Below are 27,427 nucleotides of genomic sequence, written 5' to 3'. Positions count from 1 at the left end.
AACAGCATTGTCTACTTTTCTTTAATGGCTCTATGAGTAAAGAATCATTTTCCCTGACTAGGTTTTAAGTTCTTTGAAGGCCCAAAGTAGACTTTTATTTCTTTTGAATTTCTTGACAATGTTCAGTAGACTATTGGACATATTGTCCTAAAAAATGTGGATAGGGAAATAAAAAATAAGCTCTGGAATAGTGTTTAGATTCTCTAAAGTGTTATACAAATGTAAGTTATCATCATTATCTATGTTTGAAACTTTCTCTAGTGCAGCTTGAGAAGACATCTAGACACAGATTTCATTGCTGTAAAATGATTCTGGACCAATAACAACCCAAAATAATAATACAAAAATATCAACTTTTTTTGAACATTAATAATATGCTCAGCATTATGTTATACGTTTATATGCAGTATCTTATTTATTACCCACAACAATCCTATTAACTTGAAACTTATTATCTCCATTTTATAAATGAACAGACTAAAGTTTAGTGTGAAAACCAAAATCACAGGGTGAGTAGCAGAATGGGAAACTGAATTAAGCATTTTAGTTGCCAACACTTGAAAGGTGTTATTACTGGGATCTGAATCTACCTGATTTACCACATAAATAATATCTAGAATTTTAGATCAATTGAGATTAGTGGTTCTCAATGGAGGATGACTTTGCCACCCAGGGGATTTTTGACAATGTTTGGAGACATTTGAGGACATCACAACTGCAGGAGTCCTGTGGAGCGTAGGGCATAGAAGCTAGGGATGCTGCCCATCATCCTTCCCCAAAAAGAGCTGTCCCCCTCCACAAAGAATGATCTGGCCCTGAATGTCCATGGAGAATCCATGATCTAGACCTCTTTTTCCATGCCTGGATAGTTCTGTTGTAAATTAATGACTTCCTTCTTGTGGTTTAGGCAGTCAAGAAAACGCATGACCTAAAGCCAGCATAAGAGAGTCAAGTATGAGGGTACATTTGTTATTTCAAAGCTTCTGTGGAAGGCAATGCTATGTAGTGTATTTTTTTTCCCAGAAGGTAAGAAGAACATCCTCCTTTGATATTTATTACTCTTTGGTTGAATTTGGAATTTGTAAAGGTTAGGTTTATAGGTCGTCTTCCTCCAACAACCACCCCTACTCTTCATCCTAATTTAGACTTATGTCCTATAATTTTCTAAAATATAAAATATAGCTGAAGTCTTTCCTATACTTGAGACTCTTTCCTTTTAATAGTTATATGACTTTATCTATGAGTGGCTAAGATAAATAGCTATAGCAATTTCATGGTACTTAAAGTCACATTTCTTGATAATCTCTGGATTTTCAGGGACCATTAGCGATCCCTGTGTGAATCTTAGAATAATGAAAAGTACATTCTAGCAAAGACTTTAGGTACCCTGCTATTACTGCATTGATTTAGAAACACATTTTTAAATCAATTTTTTTTGCAATTTTAACTTGTAATAAAATGAGTCTTAACCAAAGTGCCCTTTGCAATCTAAATGCTTAGGTTTGAGAACAGCAGGACAAATTGAGAATTAATTAACATTTTGAAGTCAGAGTGCTATGTTGTTTAATCCTAAATTATACTTCAAATAGGGATTGATTTCTACACTGCAGAAAAACAAGTGTTGCTTCTTCCTGTGCCCCTTTTAATAAAAAATATGGATAGAGTGTATTTAGAGAATAAGATTAAATAATTCAATCATTAAATGTTTTTGATGAAGCCATAATAATATGCTATTACAGAATCCATGTTCTCCAAGTCATCTTTATAACTTTGAGAAAACAATTATTACAGAATAAGACAGAAAACCAACCAATATTGAACACATTAGTATAATTTATGTATTCATAAAACTGATAATAGACATTTATTTCTAAAAATTCTTAAAGCACAGGTAATAATGGAACCAGTCAGCAATTTACCACTTGCAATTAATCACTCTCTTCATATTCACAACATTCAATTTTTCTTGCTATTTGAGAGAGTAATGATTAATTGATAAAAGTTTAACAAGTGCACTAATAGCAGGTGCTCCTAATTGCAAAGTCTTCAGAATGATTCTCCCCAAACCTACCTTATGCTAATTTGTACAGCATTAGTCATAACACTTTATGATTTTACTTTTAAAATGACTTTTCTTTTAGTCACCCTAATTTAATTAAGAATTTTAGCTAGTTACATGTATTAAGAACACCAATGAATTTTAAATTTGTGAGTTTGATTACCATAAGAGATTAACAGGAAGACTCATAAAAATGCACGGCTGCCAATTAGAAGCATCAACACTGTGTAAATTAGAATTTGTTAATTGGTTTAGCAAATGTAAATTCAATTTTTTGAAATTTTATGAACTGAAAAATTGATTATATTTTTTGTGAGCCTCCAGAAATATATTATTAGTGATGATATTTGTTTCAGTAGTTGCTGAGATTATACTTGTGTTTTAGCTACAAATGTTTCTACTTCATTTATTTCAAAAATATCGACTTTAGCATTCATTTTTCATCCACGCGTTTGCCCCTCACTGTCTACACTATTAAATGCATACTTAAGTACACATTTTTCTTTCATCTGTCCTTCCTCTCACCAAGACAGATAAAATATGCATTCTAGGTAAGGTTTGTTATTTTGTATTTTCAATATTAAAGTGCATGTAATTAATTTAGCTTCCTTAACACTATGTGTTTATGACAAAACCTACAGATGCTTTTACAAAAAATACATAGTGAGAAAGCATTTCAGGTATGCAGATTAATACTGTTTGCCTCTAGGAAATAGACCCTGCCGTCTTGCATTTTATAATTATAAGAAGAACAGAGCTATAGGTTAGTATATATTGTGGAATGGGGAGGTCTCTTAGCAATGGAAGATCAAAATCTATTCTCAGAGAAATATGGACCCAGTCTGAGTGTTAACCTTCAGTCAGTTAACTCCCATGCTGAGTTGCAGTCAAGAAACTAAGGGTAGAAATTAGGACAGGCTTTAAGTATACTTATGGCTGAGTCTATATACTGTAAGTGAGAAAGTGGGGAAGAATAGCACATTGGGTAACTATAAATTTAGCACTCTGAATTTTCCAGATAATTTGACTGATTTGACTTGTGGACACCCTCACTTTGCCTCCTAACTTCTCCAGCCCCTCCCAGAGGTGTATTTGAAATTACAGCTCTAGATAATCTTTCCTAAAGGTTCCAAATTCAGCAGATAATTATTTGGACACTCAAAACCTCTTGCATCAATACACTATCCTAAGCCAGGCATGAGGTCTCACACCTGTCATCCCAGCAATTTGGGAGGCCAAGGCGGGCGGATCACCTGAGGTCAGGAGTTCCAGACCAGCCTGGCCAACATAGTGAAACCCCGTCTCTACTGAAAATACAAAAATTAGCTGGGCATGGTGGTGCACACCTGTAATCCAGCTACTTGGGAGGCTGAGGCAGGAGAATCACTTGAACCCGGGAGGCGGAGGTTGCAGTGAGCCATGATGAAGCCACTGCCCTCCAGCCTGGGTGACAGAGTGAGACTCATTCTGAAAAACAAAACAAAACAAAACAAAAACCCACTATCCTAATTATAGTATGTAGTACTCTACCCCAATTATCTCCAAAGGACTAAGACACAGAATGAAACCGAAGGGTACAGGAAGAACAAATTTAACACCTTCCCCTTTGAACAATAGGAGTAGGAAGGGACTTAACATTAATAGAGGATATGCTTCATGCATTTAGTTCTGTACCTCATCGTCTTTAAGCAGGAACTGGAGCCTAGACAGCTAGACATGCCAACCAAGTAAACGCAAGAAGGCATCTGACAGGGGCCAACTGCTGCAGGAACCCAGGTTTAAGAGATCTTGTCACTAGGAATCAGTTGGGTTGTAGGAAGCAGAGTAGCCCCTGATTACCAAGAAAGAGGGTGGGTTTATTTCTCTAACCCTGATCCCTTCCTTCTTTCTACTCTGCCCTCCCTGTCATAGTCCTCATGTTATGCTATTTTAAAGGAAAAAAGTGGAAACAACCTCAATTTCCAAAAACAATATATTGTTTAAATAAATGTGGATATTAGTGAAATATTATGCAGCTATTAAGATAATAATGAAGACATACATATGTATTGACATGGAAATCTGTGCATGATTAATTCACTGATTCACTAATATTGCCTCATGCCTCTTCTGAGGAAGGCGCTGAACTAGGTACTTCAGTGGAAAAGAAAACAGGCCTGCACTCAAGAAATTTATGTTCTAGTGGTAGATTCAGTTGATGAAAAACTAAACAAACAAACATATAATGTAATTTCAGTAGTGATAATTACCATGAAAAAACATAAAGCAGACTAAGGGGTCACAGGAGGTGGGAACAGCATTTGATTAGATACATATTTGAGAGATTTGAGGCCTAAACAATTCTTTAGGTCAAAAGGGTATGAGATATAAGGATAAGAACTTTCCCAGCAGACGGAGATGTCAGGATGAAAGCTCTGAATTGGGAGTAAAAAGGCCAGATACAAGGTGGAAAGACTTGGGCTGGAAAGGAAGCAAAATAGGAGGTAGGACAAAGAACAGAGAGAAAAACCACAACAATGGCAGTAGGTTGGGGATACTCTAGTACTCTCACTCAACTTTTTGTTTTGAGAATGGTAGAAAGAAAGGAGCATTATATGCTCTGAGCTGGTGGTGATTCTGGGTGTACAAGGCATCTCTCAGTAGTATAGTCTATACATATTAACAACCACCAGTGTCAAATGCATTGTCTCATATGCAGTGGTGCATGGGCAAGTGTGGCTGCACCCTATTTATGTTCATTAAAAATAAAAACACTATGTGGGCCAGTCAGATATATCTGTGAGTTCCTATGTGGGCCTTTTGGCTGGATTTTTTTTTACCCTCATCTCAAACCTGTTTAGTGACCATTCCAGAACTGAGTGTTCTGGAGGAATCAGAAAATCATGTGTTGCAGTCAAAGGAAACTCTTTGAGTAGGAGATTTTCTCTGGGAGTGCATCAACTTTCCTTTCCAATTTGTCAACCTTTTTTTTTCTCTTTCTTGGATGTACCCTAGGACTTTTTCTATAGTAATCAATGCTGTCTGTCAATTTCACTGTTTTAAGACCTCTCTTAATGTGGTATTGAACATTTATGGTATGTATATAGAGGGATTCTAATTCTCTAATCTCCACTTGGGGTTTTTTGGGGGAATCCTGGGCAAAACTGTTCCACTTGAAGACACAATTTTATGGGTTATAAGTGAGAAGAATAATATTTCCCTTGAGATGGCGCAATAGTTGATTAATAAATGCTTAAAGGGTGTTCTGAAGATTACAAGTGTCAGCTACTATTGTGATTATTATTAGCTGATCCTACAATCTGGAAGTACAATGAGCACCAGGTTATGGCTGACTCTTTCATCTTCTGTACATACGTTCTATCCACTGGAAGAATTAAATGTAAGCCCAGAGTAATTAATTAATGTTTATGAAGCATGTTGTGAGTCTCAATTTCTCTAAGTGCCAAGTGCAGTTATGAGAAATACCATAGCTTTTATTTCAACCTTGTAGTAATATTAGATTCTGATTGGCTTCATTTTCATTATAGATCATGTACTCAGAGTCTCATTTCTATATTCTGTGCAGTGTCTGCTAGCCTGCTGGTATAAGTGTCCAACAAGGGCAGTAATAAAGTTGTAATCTGTTTTCTTTTTCTTTTGATTCACCTTCATATATATGTATATTTAAAAGGACTACACAGGAAGAAAGAGCTCTTTCATTTTTGGCAAAAGATAATTCTAAATCTCTGCTGATGGGAATATGGAATCTTCTTTCTCCTGATTACCAATCAGGAAAATGAAAACTATTTACTCTGAAAAGTCTAGTTGTATCACTTCTAAATCATTTATAGTCCACTAAGTGCTTTGAATAATGGAGGAGCTAGGAGAGCCCCTGATTTAATTTTGTCTCTGTGTTTCTTCAGTATCTTTGTGCTTTCTTGCATTTAGAGGAATAGCACAGAACAGAGAGTTTAGGTGATTTTTTTAAAGGAAGCTATTAAAAGCTTTTACAAGGGACTTCAGCTTTAATAAAACCTCTCTGTATGCCGAAAGGCCAAATCTCCAGGGATCTGGAAAAAAGCAACCTCAAAGTTAAACATTTGCAAAGCAAACTAAATTCATGAGTTTAACATCATTTTTTCCATCTCCCACCCTTATCTTTCTTATAATAAATACAACATTGGTTCAGTATATTCTTTAACCCAATGTCTCTAATAGATAGCAATATCAAATTATAAGAGCACATATTTGCCTGACATTTTAGTTTATAAAATGCTATATTACATATGTATTAGTTTTCTATTGCTGCCCTAACAAAACTACCATAAATTTAGTGGCTTAAAACAATCACTATTCGTGCCACTGCACTCCAGCCTGGGTGACGGAGCTAGACTCCATCTTTAAAAAAAAAAATCACTATTCATTATTTCTCAGTTTTGTAGGTTAAAAACCCAGGTTCAGGTTGACACAGCCGGCTCTCTGCTCCAAGTTTCAGAAGGCTGAAATCAAGGTGTCTGAATGGCTCTCTTCCTTTCTGGAGGCTCTGGGAGGGTCTTCACTTCCCATCTTATTCACTTTGTTGGCAGAATTCAGTTCCATACAGTTAGAGGACTATGGTCTCCATTTCCTTGCTGGGTGTTGGCTGGGGTGATTTTCAACTGTTACAGGCAGCCTGCATTCCTTCATTAATGGCCTCATAGTGGATCAAGTCCTTTTCAAGCTTTGAATCTGTCTAATATTCCCTTTTGCCTCATCTCTCCTCTGTTCTCTGCCTGGAAAAAAAGAAACTATTTTAAGAGCTCATGTGCTTTGCCTGAACCCTGCCTGATAATACAGAATAATCTCACCATATCAAGATCTGTAAATTTCACTAAGTCTGCAAGCCCCTTCTGCCATGTAACACAACATATTAGCAGGTTCCAGAGATTAAGGTGTAGACATCTTTGAGGGGAGACTGTTTTTCTGCCTGTAATTCCATAGAATTATCATGCCAGGCAAGGTGGACAATATTATCCTAATTTTATAGATGAAGAAATACAGTATTTCAGTAGCATAAATTATTTGACCCTGGTCAAAGAGCAAATAAATGGCAGAGCCCAAGAGTAATGACTAAAATCCTTTTGTCATTTTTAGTTATTTTTGCTTTTAATAAACATTTAAAGGGCTCATGGTAAGTGTCGGATTTCTATATCAAATATGAGAATACAGGGATGAAAGATGTCTCTGAATTTAACAGGTTCATAATCTTACAGGCAACACTGAGAAATGTCCAAGAAATTTAATATAGTTTGTAAAGGCTTGATGAAGAACACAGGAGTATAATCTCAGGGAGTAAAATAATTGGGCATTAAGAAAACCTTTACAAAGAAGGTGATCTTTGAAAAGGCTCCTTCAAACCACATAGGAGTTCATCAGTTAGATAGCCAAGGTATAGTGGGAACAGCATATGTAAATGCTTGGTGTCAAGAAATGCTAGGGCTTCTTCAAGACCCAGCAAATGAGGTGAATGGCACCAGTAGAGAGGAACTGACAGATAAGCCTGTGAAGGTGGGTATAGCTATACTGTGAAGAACGTTTTAAACAGCACTGTACACCTCCATGGTAAGGAAGAGTTGAAGCATTTAAGCCAGGGTTGACATATTCCAATATGCATATCAGAAAGGTATAAAATAGGGGACTCAATAAAATGAGCTGAGATGGTGAACAATGGTGATCATTAAATTTAAGGCACTTGCTAGGTATTTTGAAGATTACAAAAAATATAAATGATACATATGTCCCCACAGAGTTTTTCGTCTTATGTCAAAACCCTTGGTTGCAAGGAACAGAAACCCGATTCAAACTAACATTAGCTAGAAAAGCAGAATATGTTGTTGATTCACATTACTGAAAATCATGGGGCAGATGACTTCAGGCAGAGCTGGATCCAGAGGCTCATTTGATGTCATCAAGGGTCTATCTCTCTCCATCTCTGACTTCTGTCCTCCTCTTTTCTGGAATCACTTCAGAGAACTTTCCTTTATGTTGCAGCAAAGATGGCCACAGCAATTTTTGGATTTGCATTATCCATACAGCTAATAATCCCAGAGAGAGGAGCATTTCCTTTCTCCCACCACCCATATTTTTCTGAAAAAATGGACTCTGATTGGTCTTGCTTACACATGCCCAGCAATGGACAAATTACTCTGTTTACAGGGATAGCATACTCTAAATAGCTTAACTTAGTTATACACCCACTTCTGTATCAGGGAAAATGCAACCAACCTTATGTGTTGGAGTCAGAGCATTTCCTGAAACAGATAAATGACAGATTTCCTGAAGCAGAGAACGACAGTTAGGCAAATATAATAGGTCTCCAACACACAAGCGTACAAATCACCAGAGAGTGTTATTAAAATGCAGCCTGTGGGCCGGGCGCGGTGGCTCACGCCTGTAATCCCGGCACTTTGGGAGGCCGAGGCGGGCGGATCACGAGGTCAGGAGATGGAGACCATCCTGGCTAACATGGTGAAACCTCGTCTCTACTAAAAATACAAAAAATTAGCCGGGCGTGGTGGCGGGTGCCTGTAGTCCCAGCTACTGGAGAGGCTGAGGCAGGAGAATGACGTGAACCCAGGAGGCGGAGCTTGCGGTGAGCAGAGATCGCGCCAATGTACCCCAGCCTGGGCGACAGAGCGAGACTCCGTCTCAAGAAAAAAAAAAAAAAAAAAAAAAAAAAAGAAAAGTGCAGTTTGTGATTCAGTAGTACTGGAAGGAGGCCTGAATTTCTGCATTTTTTTCAAAGCTCCTAGGTGATGCTGATGCTATTGGTCCACGGCCCATATTTTGGGTAACAAGGCACTATACTATCTATTGGGGTAGCCAAGGCGACCATGTAAAAAGATAACCCTAATAATAAAAAATGCAAGTTGTGATTCAAAGTGATGACAGAAGAGAGGTAAAAAGGGGGATTATCAAACAAATTTCAACGACAATGGGTACCCCACAGTAATACAAAGAAGGATATCCTCTAGGATACATTAAAAGCGTCAAACTGTGGTCTGCAGTTAACCTGATAGGTTTTCAAGGGGTCCATGAGGCCAAAACTGTTTTCATAATAATATTAAGATGTTATTTTATTCTTTTTCCCACGCTGACATGTAGTGATGATTGTTCAAAAGCGATGGTAAGTCAAACTTCTGGCACCTTGAACAGTAGTGATAGTTTCATCACCGACATGCCCTCACCTTATTAAAAAAAGGAAGAAAACAAGAAATGTCACTTTTGTTTAAAAATGTACCCAATGAAGCAGAAAACATTGTTAATTCATTAAATCCCGATCCTGAATTTTATTAGATATTTTTAACATTCTGTGTATTGAAATGGGAATTATGTATAAAACATTCTGCTGTATGATGGTCTTCAAGAGGAAAAACACTTGTGAGATTGAGTTACAAGCTCAAGTAGCCACTTTTTCATTGAACACATTTATTACGTGTGAGAGTGACTGACAGATTATGGCTATTTTGACTTTGGTATTTGGATGTTTTCTTAAAAATGAATGAATGAGTCTCCTACTTCAAAAAATGATAGCTTTCATTCTTAATAATAACATTAGAGCTTTCCAGCAAACATTAGAACTTTGAAAAATATGTCCCCATGATCTTGATGGCATTTTAGTTCTGAAAAGCTTAGGCGTTAAGACTGATGGTATATTAATAAACACAATTTTAAAATTGCTGTGTAATCATTTGGTTGATTTACATCATTCAGTGAGTCAAATTTTCCAAATGGCCAATGCACCATGTTGCAAAGTTATTTGTATGTGAAAAATCCATTGGAAGTGCAAGACAGACACATAGACATCGCTACAATATGTACCAAAAATTCATTGATGTGGTTCCAGATTCCATATTGCAACTAAACTTTAAGAAACTATCTCTTTCCAAGTTTAGTTCCAAAGAAGGGTATCCACAATTATCTTACAAAATGAGTAAAGTACTCTTCTCTTTCCAAAATACATATCTGTGAGGGCCAGATTGTCTTCACATACTTCAACCTAAACATATATTGCAACAGACTGAATGCAGTAGCTGATATGAGAATTCAACTTCTCTGAAATCAGGCATTAGGGAATTAGCAAAAATGTGAAACAATGTCATTCTTGTCAAAAATGATTTCTTTTTGGGCCTTGGAAAACATAGTCATTTTGTCATAAAACTATTTCATTTATTTTAGCATGCATTTGGTTTAATGTTATTTTTAATAGCATTAAAGTAGAAATATTTAAAATTTTTCCTCGGTCAAAAATTTTCTAATTAGGTAAATGTTTATTGGTATAATCTACATAAATAAAAGCTCCTTGGGATTCTTAATAGCTTTTAAGACTATAAAGTGGTCCTGAGACCAAAATGTGTGTGAACTACTGGGCAAGGCTAATCAGAAAAACCTGAGATTGCCAAGTTTTTACTACCTTTTAATTATGGAGTATATTATAATAGCACAAAACCATGGGTCCTTATTCCTTGAATAAGCTTCCATCATCTAGTTGGGTGTTGTTAATCTTTTGGATAAGGTATTTGGAATAGGCCCTGTGCTTTAAAAATATTTCAGACAAAAAAAAAAAAAAAACCACAGAGGTAAAAAACAATACCCATAAATAAATATAATTAGTCTCATTTAAATGCCACAGAGTATAATACAGCATTAAATGTTTGTACTTTTACTTAAAATGTGATTCTTCAAAATAAAATTTAGAGATCAAGTCTCTCACATTTCTGAAATAAGTACTATTTGGCAGGGCTTCTGTTTGTCCCAGTTTTCTTCCTCTTTCTAGCTCCTTCCTTCCTTCCTTCCTTCCTTCCTTCCTTCCTTCCTTCCTTCCTTCCTTCCTTCTTTCCCTCCTTCCTTCCTTTCTTCCTTTCTTTCCCTCCCTTCCTTCCTCCCTCCCTCTTCCCTCTCTCCCCCTCCCTCCCTCCCTCTTCCTCCCTCCCTCCCTTCCTGCCTCTCTCCCTTTCTTCCTTCCTTTCCCTTCTTTCTTTTTTCTTTCTTTCTTTCTTTCTTTCTTTCTTTCTTTCTTTCTTTCTTTCTTTCTTTCTTTTTCTTTCTTTCTTTTTCTCTCTCTCTCTTTCTCTTTCTTTCTCTCTCTTTCTTTATTTCTCTCCCTTCCTTCTTTTCTTTCCTTCCTTCCTTATCTCTTTCTTTCTTCCTTCTTCTTCTTTCTTTCTTGCTTCTTCCCTTCCTCCCTCCCTGCCTCCCTCTCCCTCCCTGCCCTCTTTCTTTCTTTATTTCTTTTTCTTTCTTTTCTTTCTTTCCCTTCCTTCCTTCCTCCCTTCCCTTCTCCTTCCTTCCTTCCCTCCCTCCCTTCCTCCCTCTCTCTTTCTTTTCTTTTCTTTTCCCTTTCTTTCTTTTTTCTTTCTTCCTTCCTTCCTTCCTTCCTCCTTCCTTCCTTCTTTTTTTCTTTTCTTTCTTTCTTTCTCTTTGCTTTGCTACTGCTTTTTGAGATGTCAAAACACACTTAAATAGTTGTTGAGAGTTGGTCCTCATTTTTCAGTACTTTCCTTTCCCTTTAATGCTAAACTAAAGGTTGGGTCACTAGAGGGTTGGTTGATAGATATATTTTACCCAAGATTACCACCTCAGGATGAGGTCATAAAGCTTATTATGTGAATGGTCATATTTCTTCCACCTGAAAACAAAGCTTTAGAAAAAAAACTTTAGCATTCCCCATAGGAAGATTTGTACCACTTGCTATTTATCACATATTATTCTAGATGCCTTACAAATGTTGACACATTTAAACCTCTTAACAATATTATGAAGAACCTATGAAGACATTGGAGCCCATGGAGGTTAAGTTACTCATTCAAGATCATACAGCTATTGAGTGATAGAGAGCCCAGGCAATCTGACTCCAGACATGTGTCCATAACCGAAGACATTATGCTGAATTAGTGTGTTGGAGATCATTTAAAAAACAATATTTCAAATGAAGAGTTGCTTAATTTTGGTGGGAATAATCTTAATTAGGATTTACTTCTTCATTGGACACATACCCTTGTGCTTGTAAGGCTTCCAAGAAGAGATTCAGGAGAGGTTTAGGTCACGGGAGATACAACTTAAAATAATTTAGAGTTTGTGGAAATCTAGTAATGCTCCTCAAACGTTGCCAGCAAAATACCCACCAAAAGTATGCAAAAGTTTGCAAACCTGGATTCTCTGTTACAAATGACAAAATGTCTCTGAAATTTCATACTTTATCTAGTATTCGAATTTTGCATATGATAATACTTTAATATGAAAATCATGTTTTAAGTGACTCCTCAATGAATAAAAATAATCATCCAAGAGATCAGCTGCCACAATCTTTTGTAGCTTGGAGTGGCTCCTGGCACATTGTACCAATCTTACCTGGAGAAACCTAGCTCCATAGAATACTTTTGGAAGACCATGGAGTATTTGTTTTTCTGTGTCTCCTCTTTGTGCACTACTGCTCAGGCACTCCATACCAGCCAGAATTTGGTTGCCCAGTTCTAAATAAAATGTTAAGAATAGGGCTCCATGTGAGAAACTGTGTACACTAAGTAGGTTTAGTGAAGTCACCCAACGGTCCTTCTTTAACTTGTGCCAGTAGTTGCAGTATCAAAAGTCTAAAGAGATTAACCAGGTAACTTGAATGAATGAAATAGGTCAGGTATGCATATTATAGGAAATGTTGGAGACTCAGATAAATGGAAGGCATATGCACTATTTAATGTGAGATAAAGTACACACCTCCAGCCCACTAAGAATGGGGATCAGGTCGCCACATGTTTTGATCTTTAAAAAATTAGAGAAACAATTTAAATTATTATCTGAAATTTTTTGATTTTGGTAAAAAATACAGTTTTATAAAATATGTGGACAACAAACGAGTTTCACACCTATATGTTTTATAAACTTTCAGTAAAGGTAACACCATTTACGTTGCACAATTATGTATGTCATTGATTGTTAAGTAGGCACTCTCTGGCTGCATGTGTGTCAGAGAAAGGGTGAGAAGAGAAACTTTTGCCCTCTGATCATCTTAAAGTTTTTGTTTCTGTCTACTTACAAGTCCCAAGAGGAGAATTAGGATGTCTCTTCCTGAATAGGATAAAGAATGACCTCTTTAACACATTGATGGTATCATCCTCTAAGGAACATACATTTCTTTTATTCTCTCTCTAATGGAAAAGTGGAACAACTTTTTCCCATCCTCTGAAAAGTTCTCTGTATGTTGAAATAGTTACTAAGGCTCTCCTTGTTCACGTTTTTGCTTTCGTCAGACAAAATAACCACAAATCCTAAAGTATTTCTTTAAAGATTTCTTTTCTTCTTTCTTTTTAATTATTTTCACTGTAGAACTATGGACCCTCTTCAAGTTTCCCATAGCTTTCTTACAACATGGTTGCTCTGGAATAGCTTGTCCTCATAACAGTTTAGCCAAAGCTAAATATGAAGAGAACATTATTTGCAGTTACATTTTATGTCTTTGTGTTATTTTCAAACAGCATTGCATTTCTGACTGATATGTAACTTATAATCTGTTGCAATCCCTACATCATTTCCACTATATTTATGCATAGCCAGTTCTTTCTTTTTTTGTCCCATAATTTGTAACTTTAACTGCCTTATAATTCATCTTATATACTTCCTTTTCTGTTTATTTTTTTTCACCATTCTGTGTCCAGAATGTTGGAGCTTTAATGGCTATACCTACATGGTGCCCAATACATAATAGGTGCTTAAGACAGGTTTAATGAATGAAATAACTAAACCAAGATTAGGCAATATATCCCACAATAATTTTTACTGGCTCTAACGCAATATAGATTCATTGAATCTAGTAAAATCTAGTAGAACCTTTTTCCATGCTTGACCAAACGTTTGGACTTTATCTAGAGAAAGATCTTTGTTTAAGCCTTGGCTCTTGCTTCTTATTAGCTATTTAGTTTGGAAAAATCATTCAAATTCTCTAAGCCTTTGTTTTCTCCTCCAGAAAGTGTGTATAATAATAGCTACCTTTGAAGTTATTGTGACGTTTATATGAGATATTGCACGTAAAATGCTTTAAAGTGTTCTTGATACATAGCAAATTCCCCCAAAATGCTAACTCATAAGAAAATGTAACACCCAAACCACTATATGTGGATTAGCTAAACAGAGGGATGTTTTTCTCAGCTCATGTTTTCCCTTCTGAAAGGATTTATGCTGGAAATTATTTTTGGACTCTTAAGAATTATTCTTCAAGGTATTCTCTCTTGATACTTAACTTTCTCATCTTTCTTCTCAAATTGAATGCATAGCACACATGTTTAGTCCCAGAAAATACTCACTACAAAATGTTAAGACTTCAAAATCAGCAGTAGCATCAGTTTCATCTTTTCCTATTATCTTGAGATAAGATAATAGAAAAAGAGATAAGAATCTAAATGGAAAGAATAGTCCACTGATGCAATAAAATAAATGTATAACTGCCATTGAATTACTTCAGAGAAGAATAAAATTTTTGAGAATTCAGTGAAGAGGGATGGTACCTTTGGAAAAAAGGAATCAGGTCTTATACAGAGTGTGTGCTCAAGGAGATATAGGGTAAATGTCTCTTGGGTGATGATGGCAGAGATGGGGGTGATGATGGCAGAGCTGGTAGTGATGATGATATGGGTGAGTTACCATAACACGGAAAAGAGGGCTTGACCCCTACAGGAACAACAGAGTATTCGATATTCCAGTGAGTATCCGAGTATGGCAAAGCTTTAGGAATGTAAAAGTAAGAGGAAATGACAGTTCAGAAGTGACTCACAGCAACATGAAAATAACAAACCGACAGACTTCATGGATGCTAAAATTCACAATTTAAAAATGGCCACCTGACACGCATGCCTCAGCAGATGTTGTAGTTTAAAGTGAAGATTTACAGTTTCTTTGGCAGGAAGTGAGTTGCTCAGGAAAAGGATTTTTATAAGGCTTCTTAATTGTCATCAGATGATAGGATTTAGGGATGGCATTTGTTAGCACAAGTTGCTATAAGGTGGTAACTTACACAAAGTTTACATTAAGCTTAGGGTTCATAATGACGATTTTCAAAATCCAGATAACCTTGCAAGGCAATTTTCTTTTTCAGCCACTGTAGAACATTATTTCCTACTCAGAACAACTTCAAAATTATATGTCCCATGGACACACTGAATTTCATTTTTACACCTTTCTAGTTTTACCTACACTGGGAAAATGGTCATTGACCTGAGACAAATAAAAATCAGAAGATCCTAGAGTTATTACTCTTATTGTTAGGCTTATTCTTGGATTACATTTTTTTCATATTGAGAAATACAACGCCCTTAAAATTATAATGTACCAGTGGCCCTAATATTTGGAGAGTCAAATTGTATATGGATCCACTTGGGATAATTGCATATGCAAGTGTCTGGAAAAATAGTGAAACTGAAACTAGTTTAAGAATCAAATTGCAAAATTTTGTTTTGGTTCTACCATTCATTATCTGTGTGTCATTTGTTAGGCAAACACTTTGACCCTTACTTCTCCCTTTAGTTAAATGGAAATGATTTCACAATGGCTTCACAGTGCTGTTTGATAGGACAAAGGAAATAATGTAAGGTCATTGAAAAACCACAAGGGTTGAGGAAACATACATAAGGCACTACTATTACTAGCTACTAATACTGCTTCTACTACTGTTATTACTGCTATTATAACTGCTGCCACCATCACTAACAGTATTACTTTCGTCTTGGGTTTGATTTGAGTAGCTATTTCTTATCCTGGGTTCGAAGGTGAGTAATATATAGATATACAACATATATACTATATTCCTCTGATACCTGTATAATTAAAACAGTGGAAGATTAGGTAAAACATAGTAATATGCTTTTACATATTTACTTTTAACAAAATACATACCAATTGTAAAAAAGGGTCAAAAATAATACAAAATTATGATGTAAAAAGTGAAGTATTTGAATAAATAAACAGAGGGCTCTCCTCTGTTATCCTTTCCCAGTTCCATTCCCTAGAGGTTATTCAGTCTATGCTTTTTCAGTGTACTTCTCTCAAGGCTGGTTGTTTCGGGAATGAAATAAGTACATCTTGGGTGTAAACACTGTTCCAGCTATGCAAGTGTCTACACAAGTAAGCAAGTCAGCAAGTTAGTCTTCAAATACTTTGCCTTCTAGTGGGAAGACAAACTATCTTAAAACATCATCATTAACAAATAGATTTTAAGTGCCTGTTACCTACAGGGTGGAGTACTGGTTACACTGAGAAGTACGGATTCTCAGCTTTCCTTTTTCTTAACCTTCATACAGGCTGTTGTTCTCTTCTATATATATTCAGCATATAGCATCACTCCTTTTATTTTAAATAGATTTTCAGCTTATCTCACAGCTTTAAGTTTATAATTTATTTGTTCTGGAATGTGTTCCTTATGACGTATAGAGAGTCGCTGATTTCAGTGATCCCATATACCTGAGTTCTTTTGCAGGTTGCCTAAAGAGAGTGAATAGCATTTGTTTTAAATGGAGTGGCTGGAGATCTGAGTGAAAGACAGGATCTGGTAGGCAGGTATGTAAATGGGCCTGCCACAGATTGCCTAAGTTTGGCTAGACTGGGCTAAAATCTGGTTTCTGATATTGGTATGACTAAGGTTGTGTATGGCTGGCACAGGTGAGGGCATAGAGGGATGCTGGGCCAAGAAGACGTTAAAAACATGCTTTAACTTAAAATTAGAGCTTAAGCATGTCTCCATGTACATTTAAATGACTTTACAAGAGTCAAGAATATGCTATAATTGCCCTAACCATTTACCATTCTGCATTATATTATTTCCAGCATTCTGTTATGAATAATGGCTGTAAGGAATGCCTTTGGGCATACATATCTCTTCACATTTATACTAATTTCTTTATAATAGAGTCCCTAAGGTAGAAGTTCAAGTCAAAGGTTATAAAAATGGTAATGACATAGTTACAATTTTTATATCACCTAACTACCAGACCACAACAATTTAACTCACAATCATTAATGCTCGAGATGGCCTGTCTCACGGGTTCCTCCTCCTCACCCTACCCCCTGCAGATTCTTCTTTAGTTAATCTCTGCTAATTTGATAGGACAAAAAAGGGATTGTGTTCCCATTTTCTTGATTGCCATATCTATTAAATATTACTATTTCTTCCTTTGTGAATTGCTGATTGGTATGGAAATCCTCATACAAACCTTAACAATTTGTATGAGCTTTTTATATAGAAGTGATCTCAATCCATTGTGATACTTATCGTAATATTTTTTCCAGTTTATTTTTGCCTTTTAATTTGAATTATATTTCATTTATAGAATAACAATTATTTTATGAGAATATAAACAAAAAATAAAATTCTAAGCCCTGCCGACCCCTCTTTTTGGCCAAGGGCATTCCAAAGTTAACCTGAAAAACTAGTTCAGGCCATGATGGAAAGTGGAGGTCAGACATGCCTCATTATACTCTCCTCCCATTGGAATTCAGGCACCATGACCTACCAGCATTGACATTAAAAAAGAAATCTTAAGACTGACAAAACAGACTTTTTGTAGCAATGATACCAAATTCCAACCTGACTAGCATAGCATCACATGACAGATAACAGGCCCTGAAAAGAATCAAAGCATTTTACCCCAAAATATATTTCTTTGACATATTTTCAAATGGCCCTTCGTTTAATAAGAAGAAATTTACCATTTATGTCTCTGAAGCCCAATAGCTGGAGGTTTCATCTACATAATAAGAACCTTGGCTTCCACAAACCCCCTTATCTTAACTCCAGGAATTTCTTTCTGCTGATTTCAACTCTTCAGGCAAAACAACTCTTTCAAAGATTTGCCAGTCAGGAAATCTTTGAATCCATCTATGAACTGGAACACCCCCTTCCCTCCCACCCCTGCTTTGAGATGTCCTGCCCCTCCAGGCTGAACCAATATACACCAACATGTATTGATTGATAGTTGTCTGTAACTTCTGCCCACCTAAAATGTATAAAATCAAGCTGTGACCCAACCTTCTCAGGACCTTCTGAAGCTGTTCATGGGCCCATCCTTAAACTTGGCAAAACAAACTTCTAAACTGATTGAGAGAGAGGAGTCTCAGATACTTTTTGCTTTATAAAATCAAATAAGTGATCTTTTAAATTATGTCATTTCTATTAAACAATGTAATAAATTAAAGATGATAATGCAAGATCACTTAATAACTCTAAACTACTACTACTAGTATTATTATTAGTACCGCTACTAGTACTAATACTACTAATGCCACCACCACCACTATCATCACCATTTTCATTTGGACTATACAGAATAAAATGTGAAAGTCTGTCTTCATCTCCCCTCCTCACCCAAACCCAAATCAGAGATAACTACTAGCAGTTTGATGTATATCCTTTAGAACTTTTCTTTTATATGAATTTGCAATCTTCTTTACACTTACCCTTCTCATCCCATCAGTCATTGAATCCAGTGGATGCACCTTTCAAACTGCATCTTTAATTTCCCGTGTATTTTTGTTTCAAAGCCGCTTTTATGGTCCAAGTCATCATCATCTCTTACAATAGCCTAAAAGTGGCTTCCAACTTCAATTCCGTCTTCTCAACAATGCATTATCTTCACAGTGGTCCACAATGATCATTTAAAAATGCACTTTCCTTTCAAGCCATGGAGTAGTTTTCCATTACAATTAGATTAAAACACACATCCTTAACCAGTTTATAAGGCCCTGCAGGGACTGGCTCCTGCCTGTTCCTCCAGTTTCCTGCATTACCTCTTTTCTGCTTACCAACAGTATTTTTATTTTTTATTTCCTTGAAGCTGTTTTCCTACTCAAGACACATACTATTTCCTCTCCTCGGGATGCTCTTTCCTCCCTATTCTCTTTGCCTAACTAACTCCTACTCATTCTTCGCATTAAAGATTACTTCTTCAGATTTGTCTTTTCTCAGTTTCACCAAACTAAATTACATTTCTCTTTTCATACTTTGAGTTTTCCATTGTAATAGTAATATCAATTATTAATAAACAATCGTTTGTGTAATTGTTTACTTAACTAAACAATTTGCATTCCTCAGTAGGTCATAAGTTCCATGAAAGCTAGGACACGGTCTCTGTCTTATTCACTTATTTGTAGGGGGTAGGGAAGGTTACTATCCAGGATAGGGCACCAGGAAAACTTCTGAAGTGCTGAAAATGTTTTAGATCTTCATTTGAGTTGTAGGGACAGAAAGGGTGTGATAACTTTCCTCACCCATCATAAGGGTCACAGCTGATACTCCTATAACAAAATACAAGTTTACAAGAGAAAAACATCAATTTATTTAATCAAAGATTTTTTTGTGACATGGAAGCCTTCAAAAATGAAGACTCAAAGACTCAAGGGGAGACTGTCTGTTTTTGTCCTTAAACTGGGGACAGCCATGTAGAAATGTGATTGGACAAAGAGGTATCATCTAATTAATGGTGATACACTCAGGTGAGGAAGCCAGTAAGGCCTATCCATGCAGACTCTTCTTGGCTTCTCTGTGTAGCATCCTTTCCTCATGGGTATGGGGCTGGTCCCCTCTGGAATGAGGGTATTCAAAAGAGAAGGGAGAGAGTAACTTTTGTAGGTTTTAGGACTTGCTGTGGGGGAGAGGGCTTCCAGTTTCTATGACTTACCTTGGGAAGGGAAATTCTGGTTGCTTTGACTCACTTCTGTGGAGAAAGGAGTGGGAGACAGGAGAGCAAGAGAAGGTCAGAGAGAACTTGCTTTTGAGGCCCTTCCAGTGTTCTTCAGTTCACAGTACTCAGCATGTCAAAGTGCCATACTTATAGGGTATCATTTTCTGAGCCCCACAGAGTGATGGTTACAGAAATGTTGACATTTATTTTTACATGTACATAAATATATAAATTTGTAAAAACTCTTAAGGTTTGTGAAATTTATTATATATACATATATTATTAATATTATATATATTCATCAAGTAATCAAAGACATACACACTTCAAATTTTCATAGTGAGTGGCAGATTGTGCTTCAGAAGCTATAACAATTTATATTCCACCAACAGATATGAAGATACTCTTTTCCAACAATATGACAAGCAAAAGGTAGTATCTCATTGATGCCCAAATTTTCTTCTTTGATTATTAGTAAAATTGAACTATGATGATATTTTCAATCCATTTGGGACTTATTTCAGTATATAATATAAGGATTAAATTTATTTTTTCATCCTGTTGTCCCAGAATCATTTATTGAATAATCTTTCCCTTCCTCTTTGATTTGTTATGCCATTAATCTTTATCATAATTTATGATGTCAATGGCCTTGATAATATAATACATTCTTGTATATTGTAGGATCTGTTTCTAAGATATCTATTCTCATCTATTCATTTGTCTCTTCATTATTGTACTAGTGACATGCTGATTAAATTAATAGAATGTTAAAAAAGTCATCCTCATTAATCTTCTTTTTCAAATGTAAAAAGAATCCTGATGCTTTAAATTATGTCTAAAATGGTTTTGTTAAGTTAAAAAGTACCCACTGAGATTTTAATTTGCAATTCATTTTAGGTTGGTTCCTCCTCAGGGAAACAGATGCTGAGATGGAGATTTGCATGCAGGAAGTTTATTTGGGAATCTCATGGGAATAACACCTGTAAGAGAAGAGAGAATGCAAAGGGAGAAGTTAAACTGTGATGGAGTTGCAACAGAGGGTTGCGACTGATTCCATAGGGAGCTCTGAGGCTAGAATTGTTCTTCTGAATTGACTGGAATTAAACAAAAGAGCTACAGCAACCAGTTAATGGACAAGCTACCGCCAAGAAAAAGGTGTAGTGGGCAAGGCCAAGGGCAGTTTCTGGAGAAAGACTCAGTTACGAGCTGTCAGTAACCAATGCTCTCAGTCTCTGGGAATGAATGCCTTGATCTTGAATAGGAATATGGGCAGTGCACCACAGCATCCATGTCACAATTTTTACAGTCTTGCTTACTTTTCCAGGAAAATGATTAGCTTTCCCTTTTATTCAGTATTTTATATTTTAAATAACTTCCTTAGACTAAAAATACAAAAGAAAACCATCAGAAAAATTCAGTAACTTTTCTGTGCAATGAGTAATAGATAAACAGAAGCTCAGTAGATGGGAATCATGCATTCAAATCAACAAGACACTGTAGCAGAAACAAATAACAATCTTTTGCTCAATATTAGTGGAAAGTATAATGTGGTTCTTAGAAAGATACATAATCTATTCCTTTGTTTCCCTTTGGTTTTTCCAAACCTTTTCATCCTCCTTGAGCTATGAGTAAACTTTAAGAGCTTCCTCTCATTCTTCTTCCTCCTTAAACTCTGCATCTTTTGACAAAGCTGACCATCAAACCCAACATTTGTATGTCCAGATGTCTCCTGAGCATCTCTTTCATCTTGATAGACTCATTATTTTCCCCCCTCAAACCTGTTTCTCCCATATGTTCTCTTCAGGGCCATCTCCAGCTCTTTCTCATAGTCTACTTTTAGTTTATGGTCAGGACCTGCCACGCCTACCTATGAGATGGGTTTGAAACTCCTTCTCATTTTATTCTTGATGCTATAAGCAAAAATAACATCGATATTATTTCTCATATGGGGTAATGCTGTAAACTCCTAACTGATTTCCATGTCTCTAATTGTTTCCATCTGTAACCAATTATGTCATTGACAATACCATCATCAACACCAAAGTTCAAATATTTTGATGACTACTGCTCACAGAAAAAAAAATCTAAGTGTGCTCACATGGAATTCAAAGCTCTGCATATTCTGGACCTCACCTAGCATCTTGGTCTGTAGCCCAGATTTACCATACTGCTTGCCCTCTCATGCCTCTTGTTTATATTGCTTCCATGTGTCTCTTTTCTTTGTTATAAATGTAATTTTCCCTTGGTCCCTCCCCAAAGACATTCTATTCATTTTCACGATGAAGCTCAAATGCTACCTCAGTGAAGAGTTCTTAGATTCCCATAGTAGAAATCAATTGTGCATCCTCTTATTTCCAAATGTGCTTTGTTTCCACATCCTCTTATTTCCAAATGCCACTCTTGCAACATGTATCCCGTGTATGAATATACTTGCATGTATGCCTCCCTGAATACACTTGAGTTTTGGAAGGCAGGAGCTGTTTATTTTATTCATCTTTGTATTCTTCACAGAGTCTGGCCTAGCCTAATTCTTTATTGTGCAAACTATATGGTTGTGGAATATAATTCTGATGTCTAAGGCAAGGGTGTAATTGTTTCATTCATTCTATACTCACTGAAATGCATCTAGAGCTGTGCTGTCCAATATGGTAGCCACTAGCCACATGTGGCCATTTAAATTTAAATTAATTAAAATGAAAGGAAAGATTCAGTTCCTCAATCATACTAGCCACATTTCATGTGTTCTAGCAGCCACAAGGGGCTCATGGCTACCTTCCATGATGACCACTGCAGATATGGAACATTTCCATTGTCACAGAAAGTTCTACTGAACAGTGCTGCTCTATCGGATTTGCATTAGAATGCTTTCAGCTGCAAGTAATAGAATTCTCAACTCATATTGAGTTGGGCTCCTCAAAAGCAGACCCTGAGACAAGGTTTTGGGCTTATGTAATTTATTTAGGAGGTGACCCCAAGGTCAAGTAGAGCACGTTTTTAGGAAAAATAAAAGTAAAAAAAGGAAGCTAAAAGAGCCAGTAAATGGCATATTAATATGAAGTTTCTACTGTAGGCAACTGGGACTCCTTTGGAATCCTCTGAGAAAACTCACTTCAGAAATGAGTGAGTTTCTGAACTCACTCCCAGGTGTGGGAAGGCTGAACCCTCCAACTCCACCAAATCTCCTTCTTTATTGATTGGGGATAAGGGGGAAGTGGCTTAAACTTCTCCTCCACTTCGGCATTGCAACTTCAGGAAGAGAAGAAGAGGTGCAGGTGCTTGAGGTGGAAAACTGTCAGAGTGCTAGAAACTATTGCAGCAGCAGATCATTTCAGGATGGCAAAGAAGATGTGTTGGTGCATCAGCAGACTCTTCTACACATCTAAATAGGGATAAAACAATAACTAAAATCTATTGTCTCACATAAAAATGTCTGGAAAAAGGAAAAGTTAATATTTTGTTAATTCAGAGGCTTAATGATGAAGGGGCTCTGGATTGGTAGTTCTGCATTAATCTTATTTCCTCCTAACATCATTTCAGGTTGTCTGCAGCCCTTCCAAACATTACAAGTAAGTATTCCAGTGGCAGGAATGAGTGAATCCAGGTTTGGGGTCTTATAAAGAGTAAGAACATTTCTACAAACCCTGCCAGAAGACTTCCTTTTGTATCTCAGAGGTCAAGACTCCATCTTGTGGCCATGGCAGTGGCAGAGTAATAGACTTGTTGTGATTGCTTTCAACTAATCAACGTTCACCTCTTGGGTCCAGGGACAGGGCTGCCTTTCTTAAACATAATACTCCCCAGTATCTGAAAACAATAGGCTTCTGTTGGCAAAGAGAAGAGATAAATAGGGTGGTGATGCATATGTCCTGGGTAAGCAAGAGTATGTCACAGGTGCAGGCAGCAGCTTTTAAGAAAAATATTAACAAACTCAAGAGAATCTAGAGAAAAAATGACGAGGATTTCCAAGACCTAGCAACTGCACTGTATTTTGAGTAAATAAAGGAACTAGGTACAATCAGAGCTCTGATGTCATTACACCAGTAAATTAATCAACCTTTGAACTTCTCTAATATACAGAGGTAAAAAGGGTATTACGGTGGCTATCATTAAATATTTTAAAAATAGCATTGGTTGGCAGATAAATTTAATTCTATGATGTACCGGAGGCTATAGCTGGGACCAGTGTGAGAGTTAGATTTTTTTTCGTATATTGAACAGTGATTTATCCTTAACAATTAGAGGTGTTCATAAATAATATGATAAAATAGTAACATTTTCACCATTGGAAATTTAAGAAGAGCTGAATTCCATTAACGGTTTACATTCCAGTTAGTGTTTCATGTTTCAAAGTATCATTTAATTGAACTATTATTAAACCCTTATAAGATATACTATGTAAATACTATTGTCTCTATTTTCCTTATGGAAAGAATGAGTTCAGCAAGTTTAATGATTTCTTAAGATCATGGAGCTAGTAAATGGCAAAGATGTGACATACACTCAAATTTTCTCACCCTCAAATACTGGTATTCCTAAGTCATTATAACTATCTGGGTATTTTAAATGTTTTAGGTAATTGAAAATAGCTTTGTAATAGACCTGAATTTGGCTATGCTTCTATTGCTTTATATCTTATTACAAGCAATCTGTTCCCAGGAATGCCCGTCATTAGCCACTTCAGCCTGCCTCTCCCTGCCTCCCTCCCTCCCTCCCTCCCTCCCTCCCTCCCTTCCTTCCTTCCTTCCTCCCTTCCTTCCTTCCTTCCTTGTTTCTTGAGACAGGATCTCACGTTGTCACCCAGACCGGAGTGCAATGGTGTCATCATAGCTCACTGCAGCCTCAAACTCTACGCTCAAGTGATCTTCCCACCTTAGCCTCCTGAGTGGCTGGGACTACAGGTGTGTGCCACCATGCCAAGCTAATTTTAAAATTTTGTAGAGATGGGGTCTTGCTATGATGCTGCTCAGGCTGGTCTCAAACTCCTGGGCTCAACTGACCCTCCCCTCTTGGCCTCCCAAAGTGCTAGGATTGTAGGTATGAGCCACTGTACCTGGCATAAATCCACATTTCTTATTGTCCCTGCTGCTGTATGTCTATGTCCTGCAGATTCTCCTTGTATTTCCTTTAGTGGAAGATGTTTTATTTGGTATTAGTCATTATGTACATTTTTACCCCTTTCCAGTATATATTGCATGGTATCTGGTTTGTGAATAAATGAAAACACAGTACAGGAAATAGATCTTGTTTCTCTTCTCGGACATTTTGAATTTTTTTTTCTCTTTCTTGGTGTGTTCTGGTTTATTTTATGATTCATTGAAACATAGTAAATTCTCTCCTTCCTTTCATTTGTATTCAATATTAAGGATTACCATTGCTTCTGTTACACAGTGTTCTGTTTTTAACTTCCTCACAGGGTGGATGTTGGTGTCTTCTATACAGCCTGCACTCAGTGAAATTCTCTTCAAATAAATTAGGAGATTCTATTTTTGGATATGAAATATCTTTATCCAGTTCTGGATGCTGCTTTATGGCTCGAGTTTTTTTTAGATTAGTGCAACCATATTGTTTCTCTAGTTTTTGAGATGGAATTTTTAATATCCACCAGAGCTTCAGGCTTTACATGATTCGAAGCAGCTCATTATATTCAGATAATAAAAGGACTTTGCTTCTCAAATATGTTTGATGTAGACTTTTCTTTCAACTACTCGCATGGGTAACTTTTGAACTAGTGATTGTTGATACGGTACTGGTCACTTCAATATGTGTTGTGGCTACTCCAAAGAATACCAAAGAATTTTTACCTCCAAAATTATGCAACATACATGCCAAAAAATACAGATTTTGTAAATACTTTCCAGTTACTGCCATGGTGGTTGTTTGCTTCCTAGTCTTTACATTCGTCTGCTATTTCCTTCTAATTGGTCTTTATTTCACAGTAAGAAAAATAATAATATAGAAAACAATATGGAACAATTATTGAGACTTTACTGTGTATGAGGCATCATTCTAAGCATTTTACATAAATTAACATAAGAACTTTGTCAACAAAGTACTATTGTTATCCCCATTTTACAGATTTGAAAACTGAGGCACAGAGAGGTTAAGTAAATTATTCAATCACACAGCTATAAAATAGTGAAGCCAAGATTGCCACCTAGGCACATCACTATACTTTAAAAAAAATAATATTAGTAATAACATTTTGTTATTAACATTTAACATTTTATTAACATTTATTATTGTTATTATTACAAAATGTTCTCCAAGTTGGAATCCAAGTTGGAAAGTGGGTAGTAAAGCACAAAGGAAACTTGCTTCTTAGAATGTATTAATGAATCTCTTCCTTCTCTTCAAACAATCTTCGAGTATTCAACTTGCATATTTAAGTAGTGGTCAACGTTTAATATTTGACGTCTATATCCATATCTATCTAAGTATAAAAAAAAATTTTAAAAATGGACATTCTCACATAAACCCTCTGTATAGACTCTACAATCTTTGGGATTCGAAATTGTAGCTTATGAACTCGCCATTTTTTTGTTCTTAAATTTTCTGTCTTTTTTTTAAATTGATATGTAAGGGCTGACTTGACCTGTCTTTGAAGGAAGCCTAAACTAGGAAGTAAAGGCAAGTGAGAGGAATAAAACTAGACAGAATAGCTGTGATGGAAGGATTTCTAGTAGCTGTAAAAGCAATAAGACATGTGAATAAAGGAGATAAAAAGTTTAAGTCAGAAACACTAAAAGATAAAAGGAGTTTAAATAGTTTAAACATTCTTATATGAGGAGAAAAAATAGGAATGTTTGGAAACAAATGTCAATCTATGAAATCAGAAATCAGGATTAATTTTTATAAATCAGAGAAAAAGAAAACTTAAAATGTCTACATACATATATACATATATTTAGGAAAGAAAAATTGCAGTCATTACTATTTTATCATTTTTTCCTCAGAAAAATGATGGGAAAAAAGAAATAAAAAGTCAAAGAGATGAATAGGGAAAAAAGAAGCAACACAACAAAAAGAAAACAAGAAAAAATATTGATGGGGCAATATTTACGGAGAAATTCCTATGATTTTTAATGACTAAATGCCACAGATACATAAAATGTGAGAGGAAGGCAGAGCTGAGTCATTCCCACAGCTGGCTGTTGAAGAAAAGGCTGTAATGTTTCTTTATTATGACAATTGACCAGCCAGATAATTTATGATTCCATAAGTTACGGGTGCGGGAAATGGAGTGGAAACATACAAGGGACTCAGCAAACTGTAAAACTGCATTGGCTTTATCAGTGGACTCATGTTGAGTCCATCTAGTTGATGAACATCCTTATCAGCCAGCAAATATAAATGACTTATGGGAATAATATTTCAAGGCATAATGACACAGCTATATCTAGTATTCTTCTAAGATCTGGGTTATTAAATATTAAATATCAAAGCTGTAAATTATAGTAGCAGTTTTATATAACTAAATTAAATTCAAACAAAACCTAATTTCCTTAATCATTGGCTGTAATCCTCCAGGAACATATGCTATTAACTCAACTACAAATGGCACAGAAATTGTATGACTTCAGTTAACTTATTTGATATGAAATTCTAATCCAGGGCAGACTTCTCTGTAAATCTCCTACAGGGATTTTAATACCTCGACAATCATATTGGCTTTTTACAGAGTAACTAA

General features: G+C 36.1%; 2 long non-coding RNA genes across 5 annotated transcripts in view, besides 1 other annotated feature; one reads left to right on the top strand and one right to left on the bottom strand.

The window, feature by feature from the left end:
- Positions 1-9,126: 9,126 nt before the first annotated feature.
- The window catches only part of TMEM26-AS1 (TMEM26 antisense RNA 1), a 40,795-nt gene continuing 22,494 nt past the window's right edge, over positions 9,127-27,427 (bottom strand). Inside the window, exons 1-5 of one of the 3 annotated variants that reach the window (NR_120645.1) lie at positions 22,356-22,519; positions 20,610-20,720; positions 19,735-19,770; positions 19,325-19,351; positions 9,127-9,264 (exon numbers count right to left, since the gene is read on the bottom strand). This is a non-coding gene — a long non-coding RNA (TMEM26 antisense RNA 1). The other 2 variants (NR_120643.1, NR_120644.1) reach the window with 2 other exon arrangements.
- Positions 9,903-10,103: a silencer, noted in NCBI's record as "peak957 fragment used in MPRA reporter construct". NCBI's record gives its function as "represses an SCP1 promoter by STARR-seq MPRAs in K562 erythroleukemia cells {active_cell/tissue: K562}" and the evidence as "EXISTENCE:reporter gene assay evidence [ECO:0000049][PMID:32103011]".
- Positions 22,787-25,414, top strand: LOC124902548 (uncharacterized). Of its 2 annotated transcripts, XR_007062376.1 has the most exons (3): positions 22,787-22,860; positions 23,278-23,306; positions 24,522-24,546. It is a non-coding gene; the product is annotated as an uncharacterized LOC124902548 (long non-coding RNA). The 2 variants fall into 2 exon arrangements; XR_007062375.1 differs by lacking the exons at positions 22,787-22,860; positions 24,522-24,546 and adding an exon at positions 25,154-25,414 and having other exon boundaries at positions 23,098-23,306.

This window comes from Homo sapiens, chromosome 10 (assembly GCF_000001405.40).
Source record: "Homo sapiens chromosome 10, GRCh38.p14 Primary Assembly".
Lineage (NCBI taxonomy): Eukaryota > Metazoa > Chordata > Mammalia > Primates > Hominidae > Homo > Homo sapiens.
This window is presented reverse-complemented; position numbering and strand designations above follow the sequence as displayed.